General features: G+C 35.6%; 1 annotated feature.

The window, feature by feature from the left end:
* Window positions 17,097-17,614: an enhancer, noted in NCBI's record as "NANOG hESC enhancer chr4:182230025-182230542 (GRCh37/hg19 assembly coordinates)". NCBI's record gives its function as "activates a minimal SCP1, AML or CMV promoter by ChIP-STARR-seq in primed H9 embryonic stem cells {active_cell/tissue: H9 hESC(primed)}" and the evidence as "EXISTENCE:reporter gene assay evidence [ECO:0000049][PMID:30033119]".

Raw genomic sequence — 19,682 nt, 5'->3', positions numbered from 1 at the left:
AATTAATCTTAACTTACTGTAACTTTTTTACTTTATACACTTTATTTTTTAAAATTTTTTGACTTTTTGACACAACGCATTGTATGGCTGTACAAAAAATAATTTTTATTCTTTTCTTTTCCTTTTTTTTTTTTGTTTGAGACTGAGGTCTCGCTCTGTCACTGAGGTTAGAGTACAATGGCACAATCACAGCTCACTGCAGCCTTAAATTCCTGGGCTCAAGGGATCTTCCTGCCTCAGTCTCCCAAGTAGCTGGGACTACTCTCTGTGTGCACCACCACATTCAGATACTTAAACAATTTTATTTTGTAGAGACAGGATCTCATTACGTTGCCCAGGCTGGTCTTGAACTCCTGGCCTCACACAATCCTCCTACCTTAGCCTCCCAAACTTTTGGGATTATAAGCGCGAGCCACTGTGCCCAGCCCTATTTCTGTATATACTTATTCTATAAGTTTTTTTATTATTAAAATTTTTTACATTTTTTTTACTTTTAAAATTTCTTTGTTAAAAATGAAGACACAAACACACACATTAGCCTAGTCCTAGACAGGGCCACGATCATCAATACCACTCTCTTCCACCTCCACATCTTGTCCCTCTAGAAGGTTTTCAGAGCAACAAGAAGCATGGAGCTGTCATCTCCTCGGGTACCAATGCCGCCTTCTAGATACCTCCCAAAGGGCCTACCTGAGGCTGGTTTACAGTTTACTATGTTTTTAATAAGCAGAAAGAGTATACTCTAAAATAACCATAAAAAGTAAAGTATAGTAAATACGTAAACCAGTAACATAGTCCATTATTATCATGATCAAGTATTACTTAGTGTACATAATTGTATGTGGTATACTTCTATATGACTGGCAGTGAAGTAGGTTTGTTTATAGAAGCATCACCACAAACATGTAAGGAGTGTGTTGCCCTACCCTGTTAAGATGCTTACGACATCACTAGGCAATAGGAGCTTCTCAGCTTTATTATCATTTTATGGGACCACTAACATCTATGTAGTCTGTCATTGACTAAAAAATCATGATGTGGCACATAACTGTATATATACATGTATCTATACATGCATACAGACACACACACACACACACACACACACAGAGAGAGAGAGAGAGAGAGAGAGGGGTTTACTTTAAGGAATTAGATCATGTGATTTTTGAAGGCTGGCTAGTCCAAAATCTACAGAGTAGTCTAGCTGCAGACCCAGAGAAGAGTTGCTTTTGGAGTCCAAATGCAGTCTCCTGGAAGAATTCTCTTCCCCTCGGGAGAGATGAGGCCTTTTTCGACTAGGGGTTTTAACTGATTGGATGAGGCCCACCCACATTATTGTCAGTAATTTGCTTTTGCATTATTTTTTAGAAAAACCTTCTTAGAAACATCTAGAAGCATGTTTCAGCAAACACCGAGTACTATGGCCCAACCAAGTTGATGCATAAAATTAACTATAACAAAAACTGAGGACAATTCAATAATGAAGACAGAGAAATAGGTAGAGAGAGATTTCGCGAAGCAAAGAGAGGAAAGGATTTCAAGAAAAAAACCAAGCCGCCCAGAAGATTTTATGTAGGATGTGAACTGAAAATATGCTACTGGACAAAGCAATAGGAAGTCATCCTGGGGAAATAACTTTTTGGCTTCACAGAAGCTAAAAGGAAAGACACCGAGAAGCTAATAGGAGGAGAGAAATTTGGAGACACTGTATGCTAATTACACACACTAGAAACTTAGCTTGTGAATAGAAGAAAAGTGACACAGTGATGGCCAAAGGGCGAATAGGGTGATGAGGATCTGCTTTCTGCTATGAGACTTGGAAGGAAATAAAATAAACCTGCTAAGATTAACACCTTGGCTGATGATAGTAAAAGTGACTACAGCTCAACAAGTTAACACTCTAGGTGTAATTGCAATTTAATAGGGATTCATAGAAACACGATACTCTCATCCTGAAGATTGATTCTCTAATAGCAAAATTTCAGTGGAAATTGCAGGGGCAGGGGATATTTGGAACACCTATTGATCTCCTGTCAATAGAACAAAGCCACACAGTTAGCTGCCACATCTGCAAGGCAGGTGGGGTGAGAGATGGCCATAAAGCATACATGAGACTTTAAAAATTTTTTTTTACCATTTCTTAAATTATTTTTCGATACTGGTTAATGCTGCATTCTGTAAAAATACATATTTTAATATTCATAAGCAAATTCTTCTTTTATTAAAAATAATATGCTCATTTGTTTTGCATCTTCTTATATCCAACCTTTTCAGAAGGTCAACACAAGGTGGAGGGGAGAAGATAGGAATAAAAAGCTTTAACGACTGGGAAAAAAACATTGTCACAGGCAAGATCAAGACTTAGCTTTTAATATTCAGGCCAGACTTTCTTTTACAAGATCCATTCCAGTCTAAGATAAAAAATATATACACCATGGATACACAATACCCACAAAAGTCTATCTCTTTCTTATGATGGCCAATTATTCTGATTTATGTCATAAAATAAATCATACGATCTATACATTGTTTAAAATTTCTTTGAAAGCCTTAACACTACTAAAAGGGGGAAAACCCTATAGTTTGAGACCCAGATCTTCATGCCATAAATAAATGCAAAGTATAAAATGTCTTCCATCCTATGATCTCATAAAGAATATAATACATTTTTGGTCATTGCCATAGAATATAAACTTTGAAATGCTGGAAAAAGCACATCTAATTTGAAGCAGGGAAGTAATCTCACTTGTTCCACTTGAGTTGGGCAACCAGGTGCTTTGCAGCATTTAAAGAACCTCCATTCAGTATAATGGGTTGGGGTCACTTCATCTAATGTATCTCATTATATTGAGGGAATATAATTATATCAGTGGCTTGTTTTCGACTTAAGAATGGGAACTTTCAATGTATTAAGGAAAGTAGTATCAGTTTATTTTCAGTATCTGATGCAATATCAGTTCATGGGATTTTATTTTTTGAAAGATTTGGATTTGGAAGAGAGTTAAAAATAAGACCCAATATCAAATAATTTATTACCCAAATCTTCTGATTTAGACATTTGAGCAGAAACGTGGGTTCTAGTGTTTTAGATTTCCTAGCCTCTTCTGGGGCCTGGAGTGACTAAGAGCAGTTTATCTCTGGTATGGGTTATTGAGGTCAATGGTCAAGGCCTAACTTGGCCTTTTCTAATAGGTAGGGTAGCTGTAAAGAACATTAATAGCTGTATAAACAGGAAGGACTTTGCATGTGAGGTTTCATTTCTTCTTTACAACAGTCCCATGCACTGGGTACATCTAAGTTGGGACTGTGTGAGGTTATTGCTTTGTAGGTCGGAAGTTGTAGAATATTGGCAATTTATGTAGTTCAGATTAAAAGTATTCTCACCTTAACAAAGAAACTGGGACTCACAAGAGTTAAATAATTTCCTCAAGATCAGATCACTAGCATCGTGCCCAATAACATAACAAACTGGATGGTTTTTTCACTGTGCCATTCACTTTCTTAGGAAAATTAGCTTCCAAATATTAGGAGATCCAAATGTCTCAAAATCTGCAGATACACATTATTTCTATTCTGTGCTTAAAAGTAGCTCAATCAAGTACGTCAAAGGGACACAAGAGCCTCCTGAAAGAGCCCCTAAGGCCCAAAGTTAGAACAACTTGAGCAACAAAATAAATAAGGTAGCATTGGATTACAACCCAAAGTATAAAATATGTGTCCATTAGTACAAACTGGTCTTAATAAATGATTGAATAAATAATAAATGGGGGAAATTGACAAATCTCCTGTGTAGAATGGCAAGTAATTTATGTAGTTAGTCTGCCCCTCAAGGAGGTGGAGAATAACGCCCCACTCCTTAAGTGAGGGCTGTGCATAGAGATTTTCTTTAACTTTGCGGTGGAAAAGCCTGACAAACGCTACCTGAAGTCAGATGATCAAGGTTAACGTCAATGGTGATAAGTCATGCTGATAGTATATACCCTTGATATGATGTGATGAGAGCGGCACTTTATCTCTGTGATCTTCTTCACACAAACTCATAACCCCAGTCTAATCATGAGGAAAACATCAGACAAATCCCTCCTGAAGGACATTCTGCAAAATACCTGACTGATACTCTTCAAAGCTGTGAAGGTCATCAAAACAAGGAAAGTCTGAGAAACTCAGAGCCAAGAGGCGCCTGAGGAGACCTGACAACTAGCTGTCATGCGTGGTATCGTGGATGGGCAGGATGCCCAAGATCTTACATTATTTTTAACTACAGTCCATACTTTATTCAGACTTTTCTGGGTTTTAACCTAATGCCTTGGGACAGAAACAGGGCATTAGATTAAAAACCAGAAAAGTCTGAATGAATTGGGCATTAATGTGACCAATGAACCACGCTAATGAAAAATGCCAATAATAGGGGAAACTCGGTATGGGGTCTATGGGAATTTTCTGTATTATCTTTGCAACTTTTCTATAAATCTAAGTGTATTCAAAAAATTTAAAATATTATTTGAAAAGTAAAAAGCAGCCAATCATTAGAGCATAATCGCTTAGTACATACATTCAAATACATCACGATCATAAAAATATATAGAATTTGATATATGTTTCCTGTTATGGAAAGACAGTGTGCTTATATATTTTTAATAGCAATCAAAAACAATTATTTTAAGGATTCAAGCAAAATGAGAAAAGGTCATTCTGAATACAATATGTTTTAAGCATGTATATTTGTTATAGAACTTAGGTTTGACAACTCAGAGTGATATGAATTTTTTAAAAATCACTGGTAAATGTTACTGATATATGCAGGCATTTCAAAAGAACATAAAGATTGATTAAACCATTAGCAATATACAAGTGCTTTATTATATCATAAAGTAAAATATTGAGCATAAATAAAAATATATTCATAACATGAATTCCTCAGAGAATTCTTTCCTAGTTCTATGCTTACTCTCCTTATCTATCTACAGGTTGTTCAGAGGAAATGGAGATACAATACCGAGAGTAAAAAGATATTCTCTTCATAGTGATGTGGAAAAGTGCTGGGCTATTAACCGAGTCAAAATTATTACATATTATTTAAAGAATTAGACTATTTTCTACTTAAATTTAAATTAGCCATTTAAAAAATTAAAATAATGCAAAAGTTGAAATAGTGCAAAAACTGAAATAATGCTACAGTGCTCTGTCTACAAGCATTTATAAAGACCTCAACTTCTTTGTTTTTAGATAATGGTATTCAAAGTTTATTTGCTCACTGTGATAAATTCTAATGCCCTCACAGTCCAGCACAGGAATAAAAAAGAGTCTAGTCCCATGGTTATTTTTTCACGGTTTCTGTTTCCTACACTGTATGTGAAATGCTTTTCAGATTGTTTAATGAATTTAGACTTAGAAAAGAAACTGAATATTTTCAACAACTCCACAAGGTACACTTAAGAACACAAGATATCTTCAGAAACCTCCAAAATAATCAGAATGGCCAGTAAGACTTCCTGAAAATGCAGATGAAGCTTGATTATGTATAAAACTCTTTGATATAGAAATGCTTAAAATTTATCAAGTAATGTTGCTGAAGAATGCCATGTATTCCATTGCTAATATTCTTCTGCCTAAAAAAAAATCCAGGAGGCACTTATCTCAAATGCAACACATTCCCCTTTATATAACATCTTTAGAATGTAGTCATTTCATATCATCTATCACCCCGTCACAATTTTCTTAAGATTTCTAACCTCTCAAACTTACTTCTCTTATTACAGACCACATGATTTATGAGTACTGAGAGTTACAGAGACAGCTGTGAGATTAACATTGTAACCTATCCCAGATCACCTGAGAAACTGTTTCTTCTGAAATACACTGTCACATTGAAATGGAATTACAACATATTTTGGGGGCAATTCTGGCATGTGCTTTTAAACTTACTCGTTCAATTGTAAAGAAAAATAGAGTAGAAATAGAGAAAATTGTGCTACATTTATTTGCTTTGACTTCCTGTAAAAATAATGTGGAGGTTTAATCAACGATTCATCATAATAAGATAGAATTTCACTTATCTAACATCTTACAAATTTTCTATAAATAATACATACTTACAGAAGTCATTAAGAAAGGAAACAAATGACTAATTTTAATATTCCATTGGAAATACATTAGAATCCATCCTTTTGTTAATGCTTTTGTGCTACAGGAATGTTTTAAACTTCAAGGGAAAGATGAAGTGTAACAGTACATTTTGATTTGATATTAAGTGTTAAGTACCTGAGGAGAAAACTGTGAGAATGTGTTGCTTAAAAAAATTTATACGGTGATATTTTAGAAATAGAAATATAATAGATTTATGGCAACTCCTTACATTTTTTTTTCGTAAATGCTCACAACAGATACCAACCAAAGGTGTGCAAATTTATTATTCCTGAGTCTTTCTGGTGGAAACCTAAAATAGAACAGCTGGCTCCACTAGAAATAGCTCTGATCTTTCTAGAAGAGAGAGATGCTGGATTCCAGGTAAGGAGTGTACTGAAGATGAAGAGTAGCCTGAATGAATGAATAGCTTTCGCCTATAAGCGTTAGCCACCCTCCAAACTATCACCTGTGTCTTTGCTACTCAAAGTGTGGGCCACAGGCCAGTGGCAGCAGCAGTACCCGGGATCTCGTTACACACAGAAAATCTCAGGCACCAGCCCAGCAAGATTCCCAAGTGCTTTGTACTCACATTGAAATTTGAGAAGGACTGGCCTGTACCGATCCTGGTTATTCTCCCTGCCTACATATTGGAATTGACTATGGATATTTAAAAAAAAAATACTGGGGTTCAGGTCTCACCCTAAGACAATGACAGAAGTTCAGACAGTTTAAGTGAATTTCCAACATCACACAGCCAGCTCTGAATCTTCCACAGAGCCAAAGCTTTCTAACTTATGCCTTACCTATAGTATTTCCCCCATTCAATTTTAGGAAGTTCAGATTTTTCTGAAGGTTTTACAATTCTCATCTTTCACTGAATAAAGATTTTGGGAGTTTGTCTGCTATTAACTGCTAACATCAATTTTCAATTATTTTTTTAAGAGCCATCTCATAGTTGTACCTGATGCAAACTAGATTGGTTTTACTTCACTTTCCAATATAGACTGCACTTTGAATCATGAATTATGAATAAATATCATCCACATGACTATATTCTGTGTCTTTTGTAGTAGTGATATTAAAAATCACAATATATTCTGCAGCAAAACCAACAATGATTAAATATAATAAAGCGATGAAATGACAAGGATTGTGATTGCTGAGAAAAACAACTGTGACAGTGAATCTTATGTGTCACACTGACTGGGCTGCTGGATGCCCACATAGGTGCTCTGTGAGGGCGTTTCTGGAAGAGGTTAGCCTTTGAATCAGTAGAGGAGTAAAGAAAACTCCCCCTCACCAATGTGATGGGCATGGCCCCATCCGTGGAGGGTCTAAACAGAACAAAAAGGCTGAGGAAGTAAAATTCTTTCTCTCTCTTCCCCGTTTTTTTTTTTTTTTTTTTTTTTTTTTTTTTTTTTGAGATTGAGCTTTGCTCTTGTTGCCCAGGCTGGAGTGCAATGGTCTTGGCTCACTGCAACCTCCACCTCCCAGGTTCAAGCGATCCTCATACCTCAGCCTCCCAAGTAGCTGGGATTACAGGTGCCAGCTACCATACTCAGCTAATTTTTGTATTTTTAGTAGAGACGGGGTTTCACCATGTTGGCCAGGCTAGTCTCGAACTCCTGACCTCAAGTGATCCACCTGCCTTGGCCTCCCAAAGTGCTGGGATTACAGGCATGAGCTCTCTCTCTCCTTGAGCAGGGTCGTTCGTCTCTCTTGTCTTGGGACATCAGAGTTCCCAATTCTTGGGCCTTTTGACCCCCTACCCCAGTTCCCAACCCCGAACTAAATTACACCACTGGCTTCCCTTGTTCTTCAGTTTGCAGATGGCGTATGGTGGGACTTCTCAGACCCCATAATCACATGGAACCTATTCCCATAATAAATCTCTCAAATCAATCTCTATCTCTCTGTGTCTCCCCCTGGCCGTGTGTGTGTGTGTGTGTATATGTGTGTGTGTGTGTGTGTGTGTATATATATATATATACACACACACACAGACACATATATAATATATATATGTATATGTATATATATGTATGTGTGTGTGTGTGTATATATATATATCCTATTTGTTTGGTTTCATTGGAGAACTCTGACTAATACAACAAACAAATAAAAAATCAATTAAGAAGGTAGAAGTCTACTCTTTTATTATATGCTTAACTACCCAGAATAAGAACCAAGCAGTGCTGATTTGTGTAACTTCATGATGGTGGAGGGGATGGGGGACTAGATTTGCTCTAAAATCAACCAGTTTCTGTTGGGTTTTTACGCCCAGATTAATTGTCTGTGTACCTATATCCAGAGATGTGGTAGTGCAGATGCATAGTTCCTACCTGTTGACATTTGCTTTAAACATATCTAGCTTAATCATATGGTTTACTGTGCTCTTCCCTCCCAGTTTTACATAAATTATAATGCATCACATCTGGAGTGACATGGAGAGAATAAACTATATGAGCTCAATAGCTATCGACTGTCTTGACCCCAAACATTTTCCATCGCTACCTACTTTCCTCTAGAATGGATCTATTTAGGCAAACCAAGGCTGACTGGCTGGAGGATTAGAGGCTGCTTCCTCTTTCTTGCAACTAAGGTTTGAACCAGCTGAGTGTCCCTTGGATATCACTGTAATCCATCTTATTTAAGGTGGAGCATTTGATTTCTTCACCACCAGGCCTCCCTTCCACTTCAGGAAATAATCCTCTTTCAATCCCCTGCTCATTGAAATAAAAATACCATCTCATATTAATACCATCTTTCCTGAAGAAGCTCAAATCATTTTTCAGATATTTCTCTAATCCTCACAGCATTCCTATAAGGTAGGTAATGTCCATACAACAACTCTTCTCAACCAAGTCAGAATGATTATGCAAGGGTATTAGGTGCCCATGGGTATTATTGAACTGACTTTCATTTCCCCTAAAAATATATTTACTGGGGATTGAAGCAGTGCATTTATTTGAAAATATATTTATATTTGGGCTTAAGGATAAAAATTTGACTTGGAATAATGACTGTGTTGTCCATAGTATTTTGACACTGATACAGATACATTGCTTCTAGCAAGATACAATATAACTCATTTGGATACTGTGAGTGTAAATTTCTAAATTGGCAGGTATTTATCACATTGAAAATATTAGGGATATTTTATGGATTCTACGAAAGAAAATTGTGGTATAATCATTACATAAAAATCATCTTTTCTGAAAAAAGTTGTGATTATTATAAGGGAAAATAAATTTAAAAATGCTTAGAGTGCTTCATTTGGAGATCAGAGTGCTATATATAATGGCCCAATAATTTGATCTTTAGGCATAATATGTATCTTTCCTAAGACTAAACAATAATATGTGGATTAAAACATTTCAAAAGATTTGAATTGACTAAAGAAAAAATATCTATTAAGTAGAGCATTTGAGGCATGTTCAAAACATATTGTTAGGTAATATCCAAAAGTTAAACCAAAGACAGCCTTTTCTAGTATAGCATAAAGATAATAATTTTAGTAACACACATAGTGCTGGCTATAGATTAGCATTCTCAGCACATTATTTCATTTATTCTTCTAAACAACAACCATTATCCTCTGTCCAGAAGAGAAAATTAAGGCCTCGGTTCAATCACTAACCTAATGCAGTAGACTGTGATTTGAACCCATGCTGTCTAGCTATCGAACTTTCATTCTCTAATCCTACTGCTCTGTATATACTTTTACTGTATACCTAAAGTGTAAGCCTCTCTGTAAGGACAGTGTTTTTAAATTAAGTAATGTTAAGAAAGTGTTATAAAGTGGAAAGAGTTGCTATAGTTGATTGCAGAATATCCTTCCTTTTTGAGGAAGGAAAGCTAGATAAATCCAATGTGCACTGGGTGGACTATTGTTCACAGGGGTGACACTTTCTTCAAAGGCCCCTCAGAGTTCTATCGTGCTGTCCCCATGTAGCTTCTATTGGTGGACAGCTCCACCTCTTCTTGACCTCAGCAAGTGATATCATTATATTCTCAAGGGGAGGACTGGAAGTTCGGATGAATAGTATTAAAAACAAACTAACAAACAAAAACCCCAACTGTCTTTTGTTCCATAATGCGGAAAATGAAAATCTCTGTGAATGGCAATTTAGAAGTAGTAATACTCTAAATGTCCCCTTTAAAATAACAGATCCGTTAAGGATTAGGAACAGCAAAGTTTAACAAATTTAAGTTATAAATAAAAATATTTGTTGACATGATTAAAATATAATTTTCTTTAATAAAATTAAAATAACAGAAGTAGTCATTATTTAATGTGAACTATATTCCAAGTACTGTGTTAGCTCTTCATATGAATGATAAAATATTCCCATAAAGTAGGCACAATTATTAAGTCCATATTTCAGACAAGGTAATTGAGGCTAAGAGAAAGAAAGTACATAGAATCAGTAAGTGGTAGAATCAGTAAGTGAAGAATTCAAAATCAAGCTGTCTATGTTTTAACAACTGTATTATTATACAAATGCTGATACGTTTCTGAAACAAATGAATATTCAGTGTAAGCACACTTAAAATGGTACTTCAAAAAATATGAGCTCAATACAGGTATCAATGTTTATGATGATTTCACTTAAAATTACAATCTCACTCTTGAATATAAATGTAAACATTTTAAATGAAAAATATTAACAAAACTATTACAACAATAAAAAATACATCATGCTCAAGTTAGTTTTATCCCAGAAAGACAGAAATATAAAAATATATTAATATATTTACATATGGAAAATATATTATATTCCATATAAATAGATTAAACGTGGGAAAATATATGATTATGTCAATAAATGCAGAAGATAGTCAATAAGATTCAATATCTATTCATGATTAAACCAGCTTAAAAAGCTAAAAGTGGAAGAGTCCCTACTAAAGATGATAAAGGATATCTATAAAAACCCTACAGCAAATATTGTATTTAATTGTAAAATGTTTAAATGCATTCTTATTAAAGTCAAGGCTGCAATAAAGCTGCTTGCACTAAATATTATACTCAGGGCAATAAGTCAAGAAGCAAAAATAAATATATGGATTAGAAAAAAAGAAATAGAGTTTGATGGAATAATTGTTAACCCCTAAAACTTAAATATCTGCTAGACAAAACATGAGCACAGATAAGAAGGCATAACAAAGTGGCTGGGCATAGGAATAAATACAAATATAAAAGTAATATATGTTTCTATAGTCTAACAGCAAACAAATTACACAATTTTTAAATAACACTTAAAATAGCAACAATATATACAATATTTAGAGATTCCTTTAATAAACGTCTTTAGCAACCTTTTTTGAAACTTGGTAAGCTTCCTTTAAAATTCATAGAAGAGCAAAGGCCCAAAAATATCTGAGACATTTTTGAAGAAAAACAAAGTGTACATGAGACATCAAGACTTATTCAAAACGAGGGAAATTATAGCAATTAAAATGATGTGATAAGAGTTCAAAAATAATAAACTAGATCAAAAGTCCCAAAACACACTAACAAGTATGGAGTGGCATGAGATTACTGATTATGGATCAAAGAGGAAATGATAAATTGTTTCATAAAAGATGCTTGGACAATTGACTACCTCTTTAGAAAACGTGAAACTGGATCCTTACCTCACACCATACACCAAAATCAATTTCAGGTGAAATGAAGACTTAACTCTAAATGGCAAAAACTACAAAAATAAAATAGGAGAAACTGTGTAATGATGGCTTTATGACTTAGGGTAGGGAAAGAATTCTTCAATATAAACCAAAATTCGCCAACCAATAAAGGAAAGAAGTGACCAATCTGACTACATGAAAATTAACAACTCTGTTAAACAAAATGTAGCAGAAATAAAGTGAAAAGCTTATCTATAGTTTGGAAAAATATACCTTAATATAAAAACACATAACCATAGAATATATATATATATGACTTACAAAAGCAAAAAAAAAAAAAAAACTCAAAAAGGAAAATGGAGAAATAATATGAAAAGGTACTTCTCAAAAGAAGAACCCATAATGCCCTTAAATACTAGACAAACATCATTGGTAGTCGAGCTATGTATGTTAAAATCACATGACATGCCATTTTTTATTCACCATATTAGACAAAAATTTGAAAGTCTTCCATAACAACTGCTGCTGAAGATGTGGCATAATGGAAACTTGTAAACCACTCATGGATACATTAATTTTTTAAAAACAAATTTGGAAAACAATTTGGTCTTATCTAAGAAACTCTGTAGGCTCACACCCTGTGAATCACCAGTTCCATATTAGGAATACACTTATATTGCTGCATTTCATTTATATTCATTTTATCATGATCCACCATAAAAATGTACATTACACATATGCATTTAAACACACACGGAAAAAGTTTTAGAAAGTAATATTTATTCTTACTATATGTTATAAACTCTGATATTTTCTGCTGCATTCAATATGATTTTTAAAAAATACTGGTTTTAACTTAGTGAACTGATTTTACAACCCACTACTGGGTCACAACCCACAACTACATTAAAAACAATACAGGTATGAGGATATAGTAAATACGTGTTTGCCTTGGTATATTTCACTTTGTGTGGACCATTTACTGGTAATTATTCTAATTTTCTGTACCTTTAGACATTTTTTTCTTTAAAAAATCAATGTCTCTCTGCAATGGGATAGATTATAAATACAACTTTTAAAATGACCAAAATAAGATATAATCTTTATGCCATACAATTGTGTAAGAGGAGATCTATAGATGACAGAGTGGTGAAATTTTTCTTACTGCAGAAAGTTTCCCTGATGAGCTCGGTTAAGCTAGTGTCCTTCCTGTGGAAATAGGGAAGGTCAAAAATCATCATATCAATATAGAGATGCATAAGAAACCCTAACTACTTAGTGCTGTTATTACTGAAACAAATTTAAGAAGATTTGGGGGATGAGGATATTATAGGGTTAAAAATGTAGGCAACCACTGAGTAGCTAATGACAATAACAAAAATAATATGTATAATAATAATTTAGCAACAAAAAGGTAGAAAAAATAAATATGAGTATTAAACTTTCAAGTCCCTATCTCTCTATAGGTGTCCATTGAGCATGAATGATCGGGGTTGGCCAAAACCACCTATTTTTTGCTTTGTTTTTTAACTTTTGTTTTAAGTTCAGGGTACATGTGCAGGTTTGTTACATAGGTAAACCTGTGTCATGGGGGTTTGTTGTACAAAAGCCCATCCAAACGGTTGAAGGAAAGAGTTGAATAGATCTGTGTGAGTAACCAGTAGGGGATCCAGAGTGGCTATGTCTGAGATGACAGGTCACTCAATACCCATTAGTGAATGCCTGCTAAGGAAAAGATACTGTGCTAGGCTTTGAGAACACAAGGACAAATCCGGTGTCCATGAGAGGTGTGGCAGTGAAAAGAGACTCTCCAAGAATAATTCTAACATGAAGGCTAACTATACGGATGCATACTGCTTATGATGGGAAGGATATTCACACTATAGCCGGGGGGCCAGAGACAGTTACTAGGAGGGATGATGGATGCCTGAGCTGGGTTTTAAAGGAGAAGCAACATGGGATCTTGCTGTTGGAAGATCCAGGCCAATCTCAGAAGAGGCTTGCAAATGTAAACAAATGATGCACCCGCCTGGATTGGATGGAGGCTTCCACCGTCTGCGGCTCCCGGAAGTCTAGAGACATTCCTCTGACAACTTTATTTCCAATGCCCTTGTCATGTATTTATGCATCTTGTACTAAGTCAACCAAAACTGAGATTCCGTGAGCTATTAATGACTTAGACACACTTTTCACGTAGTTTGTTTTTTTAATGTGTTTTCAACATTAATTGATTTTTTTCCCCTATATCCTTGAACTAAGTTTGCTAGCAAATTTAATACTGTTTCTGGGTTTAGATATAGTCAAGACCTCGTTGCAGGCATGGTAGATAAGGAAAGGGGTGGGAAAAAGTATATGCCAGCATAGGCAAATTTCTAAGCCACTGGTCTGGCAGACAGCCTGTGGGTATCACATAGCACGTAACCTTTCTATGTGATTAGAACTTTGCATGGGAGCTGTCCATGTCACTTGCCCTTCCTTCAAGTGACGACTCTAAAATTAGTTAGTTACTCCATGAATACTGAGAACTGCCATGGTACAGCAACTCTGAATCCTGTGTTTAAGAAGTGCCCAGATTCCAGCAGGCACTTGCCGTTGATAAGGCAGGCATAGTAATCAATTATAGGTATCTGCTGAGTTTCTCTCATCAGCAAAGACAGTCTTTTTTGACCTTGCAATGCAAACACATCATCTCTTATCTTCAGATCCTGGGGAGAATTTCCGGCTCACTGCAAAATCTTAACTTCAACGAAATTATATTTCTTCTAAATTAATTACTATAAAACAGTGAATTACCCAGTCTGGATTTAGAATCTAAAGTTTAGACAGTTTATTTTTGCTTGTCTATGGCTGACTCTCGGAAACTTGGTCTTTGAGCTTGCTCCAGCCCCATCTGCAAAGAGCAGACACAATTCCTGTTGCTCCATGGAGAGCTGATTCCAATCACTGGGAAGAAAAATAAAAATGCTAGTTGCAGTCAGAAAAATTTTATTTTGAACCGTGCCCTTTACTCTTGGAAAAAAAATGCACTGCTCACTTTTCTGGTAAAACAATTTGGCATCTACTCTGTATTTGAAACTGAATATACATAAATTTGTGTGGTTATGGAGTATATACTGAATTTCAGAGTTAATTATTCACATCCTGAAGCTCATTTTTCAGAACAAAGTATATGAAATATATTTTGTTTTATGATAGAATATGTATATATTTTTAATAGTTTAAGCCAATATGTGTTATCTAACACTGCAAGTGATTCTTACATGTAATACTAAGAGCTATGAATATGCATTACTTATTTATGGCATAAAAAACTATTGTTGTACTATATAATTTATTATTATTTTAAAATACCAAATTAATAAATAAATCCATGTTTTAACAAGCAATTTATAAAATTCTTCAAATAAATGAAAAGTATCATTCACATTATGTAAAAAAAAACACATTGAAAATGCATAGAAAGTGCCAGTTAACTTAAGTTGTGCCATTCTGCTGCTTTTTCTCTCAATCACATAAATAGGTAGCATCTTAAATGAAAGACACATGAGCTGCTGGTGTGTTTAAATAATACCAACCTATTTGTCATAATAAATAAAGAAAGGCAAAGTACTTCAAACCAGGCCTACTTGCTTTATACTGCATGGATAACTTAGGCACTGGAGGGATCATTTGCAAATGTTTAGTCTATCAGAAGCATCGTTAGGTTACCCTCCTCAGCAGCATGCAGAGTAAACTAACCAATGTATACCCAGACTGCAGGTGTTGATTAGACATTTGTGCCCAAAATGAGAATCACCAAACACTGCTACTGCTAAATTGGCTCTATTTTACTCTAGATATAGAGTTAACGAATTCTGTGGGGACCAAGAGATTCGTAAATTTCAAATTTAAGTAAAAAAATACCAGTAGGAAAAAGTCAAAAAAATTAACTAAAAAAAAAAACAACCAAACACCTGAAAATTCAAGGACCAGATATTCACTTTTAGACCAGCTATCACAAGTTTTATACCAATAGATTAATATATTAAATTAAAAATTAGATTAAAACTCAACATTCTTATTAATTATTATCTAAATTAGTATGCCATGGAAACATTTTTCTCTTCTTAGCTTCCATAATGAGATTTGCATCTATTCTTATAGAATCATGAAACAATACATTTCCATCATGAAATATTTGTGAAATATTTTCCCCAAGTTACCTTGTTTTTCAGTAACAGTACTCATTGTCCAAAGATCTTAGCTTTCCAGTTTTGATAAGGAAACACATTAGTATTTTAATTACAGTGAAAGAAGAGATACAACAGCTGATACATTCATAAGGCTGCCTGTGACCAATAATATGCACCATGGAAGAGAGGCTGGTATTGTGGTTGAGCCCATACATGCAAATATTTACAATGAGAAAAGGTTGCTGTGAGGTAGGTGGATCCTTTCTCCTTTTCTTATCCTTTCTCTGAATGTTCTAGATTTGCCCCAGGCTGAAAAGTTTGGGAGACATTACTGTAGATTATTTACCAAAAACACAGGATAATTGGGAACTAACCAATGAGGAAATCCTTATGTATTGCTCCCTGGCATGCCTCTAGCTCCCACCCAAGGAAGAGCATCTTTGCCAAGGCCAAACATACATACTCACAACTACTAATTACTGAGTGCTTTTCACAGGTAGGAAATTCTCCCAATTCAATCTAATGTAAACTAAAAAGAGCATTTGCTTTTCCTTTTTTAATATACTTTTCGAAATATGTCACTCCTCTTCTTTCTAAACCACAGTGTTACTGAATTGTCTCCACCTAGATTGATTCCACTCCACATGGCTATAGTGTCTCTTCAAGTCTAAGCTAAAGAACAATATTGGCTGGGTATGGTGTCTCACACCTATAATCCCATCATTTTGGGAGGCCAAGACAGGAGGATTGCTTGAAGCCAGGAGTTTAAGACCTCAAGCATTCCTCCTGTCTTGGACCTGTGCAATATAGCAAAGATCTTTGATCTCTGCTCAGTTTAGGACCTGTGCAACATAGCAAGATGCTTTCTCTACAAAAATAAAAATAAAAAATAAAAAATTAGCTGGTGGTAGTGCATGTCTGTTGTCCCAGCTACTCAGGAGGCTGAGGTGGGAGAATTGCTGGAGCCCAGGAGTTTGAGGCTGCAGTAAGCTATGATTATGTCACTGCACTCTACCCTAAGTGGCAGAATGAAACCCCATCCCACCATCTCACACACACACACACACACACACACACACAAAAAAAAAAAAAAAAAAAAAAAAAAAAAAGGAGGAGGAGGAGGAAGAAAAGAAAGAAGGAAAAAAAGAAAATAAAAATCTTCATAACTTGGGGACCAAATAAGATTTTGTGGAGGATTCCTATTCCTTAATCCTTTGGGGAGAACCTTATATCCAAAAGAATTGGCACCTTGCTTCCCAGAATTGCTAGAGAAATACTGCCTGTTTTCTTATCTTCAATGTAAATGATCTGTTTTTGCTTTTATAAGCTCCCTCTTCATCCTTTTGACTGGAATGAAGAGCAGCGACAGGTTTAAGTTCGGCAAGCCACAAAAACAATACAGGCAGAGTGACTGAATGTGTTTAAACAAAAGAAAGCAAAGCCCACTAAGTGGACATAACAAAGACAGAGCTAGAGGTGGAGAGGCCAGACAGAACTAGGAAGCAGAGGCCAAAAATGCTGGTATTGACTGTTTCTGGATCCAAGAAAAGGCGAGTGGTTTTTGTTTCATTCTCAGTGTTTTGTGTGTTTCTTCTACAGGCAGGTGAGAGTAGTGTGAATGGGGGTTGCGGCACACACTGGAGTAGAGCAGAGGAGATGGAGTAGATACCATGAAGAACATATTTTAGAGAAATGATTTCTAGATGAAAAAATATATGCCCAGGCATAAAGCCAAAAAATCAAATAAGAACCAAGGTTAGGAGGCCATCTAGTTTTGGTATTCCTGTTCTTTCCATTTTATTTGTTTTGGAAATGTGCTCAAGAGTAAGAAGTGCTTTTACACAGAGTCCTGAGACACAGGTCCACTTTCAGTGCAGTCTGTGTGGCCGCCTGCCTGCGAGTTATAATATACACATACTAACCTCATGGGCATAGAGAGAAATCAGTTGCCTGCTTTTGTACAGCACTTTGGCACTTGCAGAAAGGTGTAGGTAAACAAATATTATCATTATAATTACGTGCTATAAGTGCCAAGGCAGTCTCCCAGAGTAAAAAAAGAAGGGTTTTGGCCTCAGATAAAATTGGGTTTAAATCCAGATTTTTCTACTAATGTCTGAGTTTCTTCAAGAAAATTTTTCATTCTGTTTATAAACCTGTTTCTTTTCAACTCTAAAATGAGAATAGGAATAGGATGAAATAAGAGATACGTATGTAAAGTGCCTGCCTTGCAGGTGCTCAGAATGGGCAGATTTTCTGTTATTATTGTCATTAGTCATTCTGGATAGGAAAGATCAGTGAATAATTAAGATATTTTTTCTTTATCAAAATGGTATTTTTATAGAATAATTGATGGATAGCAGACGTTGTGTACAGTACAAAATAGTTCATTCTGAAGTTACAGTGGCAATGCATCTGTCTGGAGACATAATTTTTCCTACTTTTGTCTGTTTGACATTTTACCATTCTTCAGGGAGGAAACACTTCGCCAGGGATTCCATTGTTCCTGGGAATGCAGTTTCCAGTGGTATTTTTTAGCAACTCAAAGATCAGGCATGTGTACAAAACCCACCATCAATAACAGAGCTGGTACTACACAGGAAGTCCTTAAAAATAAGATTTACAGTCTTCAACTCTTGGAGTGGTTCTAATCATGTAGCTCATTTTATACTTCATGATTCAATTCATCTTAATAAGCATAAAAAAGTAAAACCATAAAATAAAATTAGTTATTTTCCAGTCCTGATTAAACACTCCTAGCCTTCTTCTTCTTCGTCTTTTTTTTTTTTTTTTTTTTTTGAGGCAGAGTCTCACTCTGTCTCCAGGCTGGAGTGCAGTGGCGCAATCTCGGCTCACAGCAACCTCTGCTTCCTGGGTTCAAGAGACTGCCCTGCCTCAGCCTCCCAAGTAGCTGGGACTACAGGCACGCACCGCCTTCCCTGGCTAAGTTTTTTGTATTTTAGTAGAAATGGGGTTCCATGTTGATCAGGATCGTCTCCATCTCCTGACCTCGTGATCCACCTGCTTCGGCCTCCCAAAGTGCTGGGATTGCAGGCATGAGCCACTGCGCCTGGAAAACACCTCTAGCCTTCTTAAGGGGCATGCCAAAATCTGTGGGTAAGGAGTATCGTAGTTTAGCTATGTGTACCCAGAAGCTTTCAGGTAGCTCCTAGGATATTGCTACTGCAAGCTCATGATGGTGTGAGCCTTCAGTGGTATGTGTTCATTTACAACTTTGCCCCATGCTAGGAGGCTGTGGACATGTGAAAATGATCACATAGGAGTTTGTATGTTCCCTTGCTTTGTTATATTGAACACTTCCTGCACAGTTCTCATCTATAAAGTAGGAATAATAATAACTACTTTATAGAAGAATTAAGGGATATGACATACGTAATGTTCTTGGCATATGTCTAGCACATATTGGGTGTTTCACAGATATTGATCTCCTTTCTCCCAGTTTCTCAATCTCTCCAATATCCCACAATCTTGTTATTAGAGTTTAGACAATTTCAAGGGATCTCATTGTAGGTAACATGTTTCTCATCAATGACATATATTAATTTTTATAGATTTCAAATATCTTTCAAAACTCTTAAGATTTCATCTATCTTGCCTATCTTCTGTACCATTTTATTTAATTAATATTGATAATGGATAATGTCCTTGCCTGCTAATTCCAGTTTCTGAATAATCTGTGGGTGTGCTTTTATTTGTCTTGATTATTAGTCCAGATGATGCTATCCCGCCATTCCC

The sequence above is a fragment of the Homo sapiens genome, chromosome 4 (genome assembly GCF_000001405.40).
Source record: "Homo sapiens chromosome 4, GRCh38.p14 Primary Assembly".
Lineage (NCBI taxonomy): Eukaryota > Metazoa > Chordata > Mammalia > Primates > Hominidae > Homo > Homo sapiens.
Note: the sequence above shows the minus strand (reverse complement) of the source record. Positions and strands in the feature narration are given on the sequence as shown.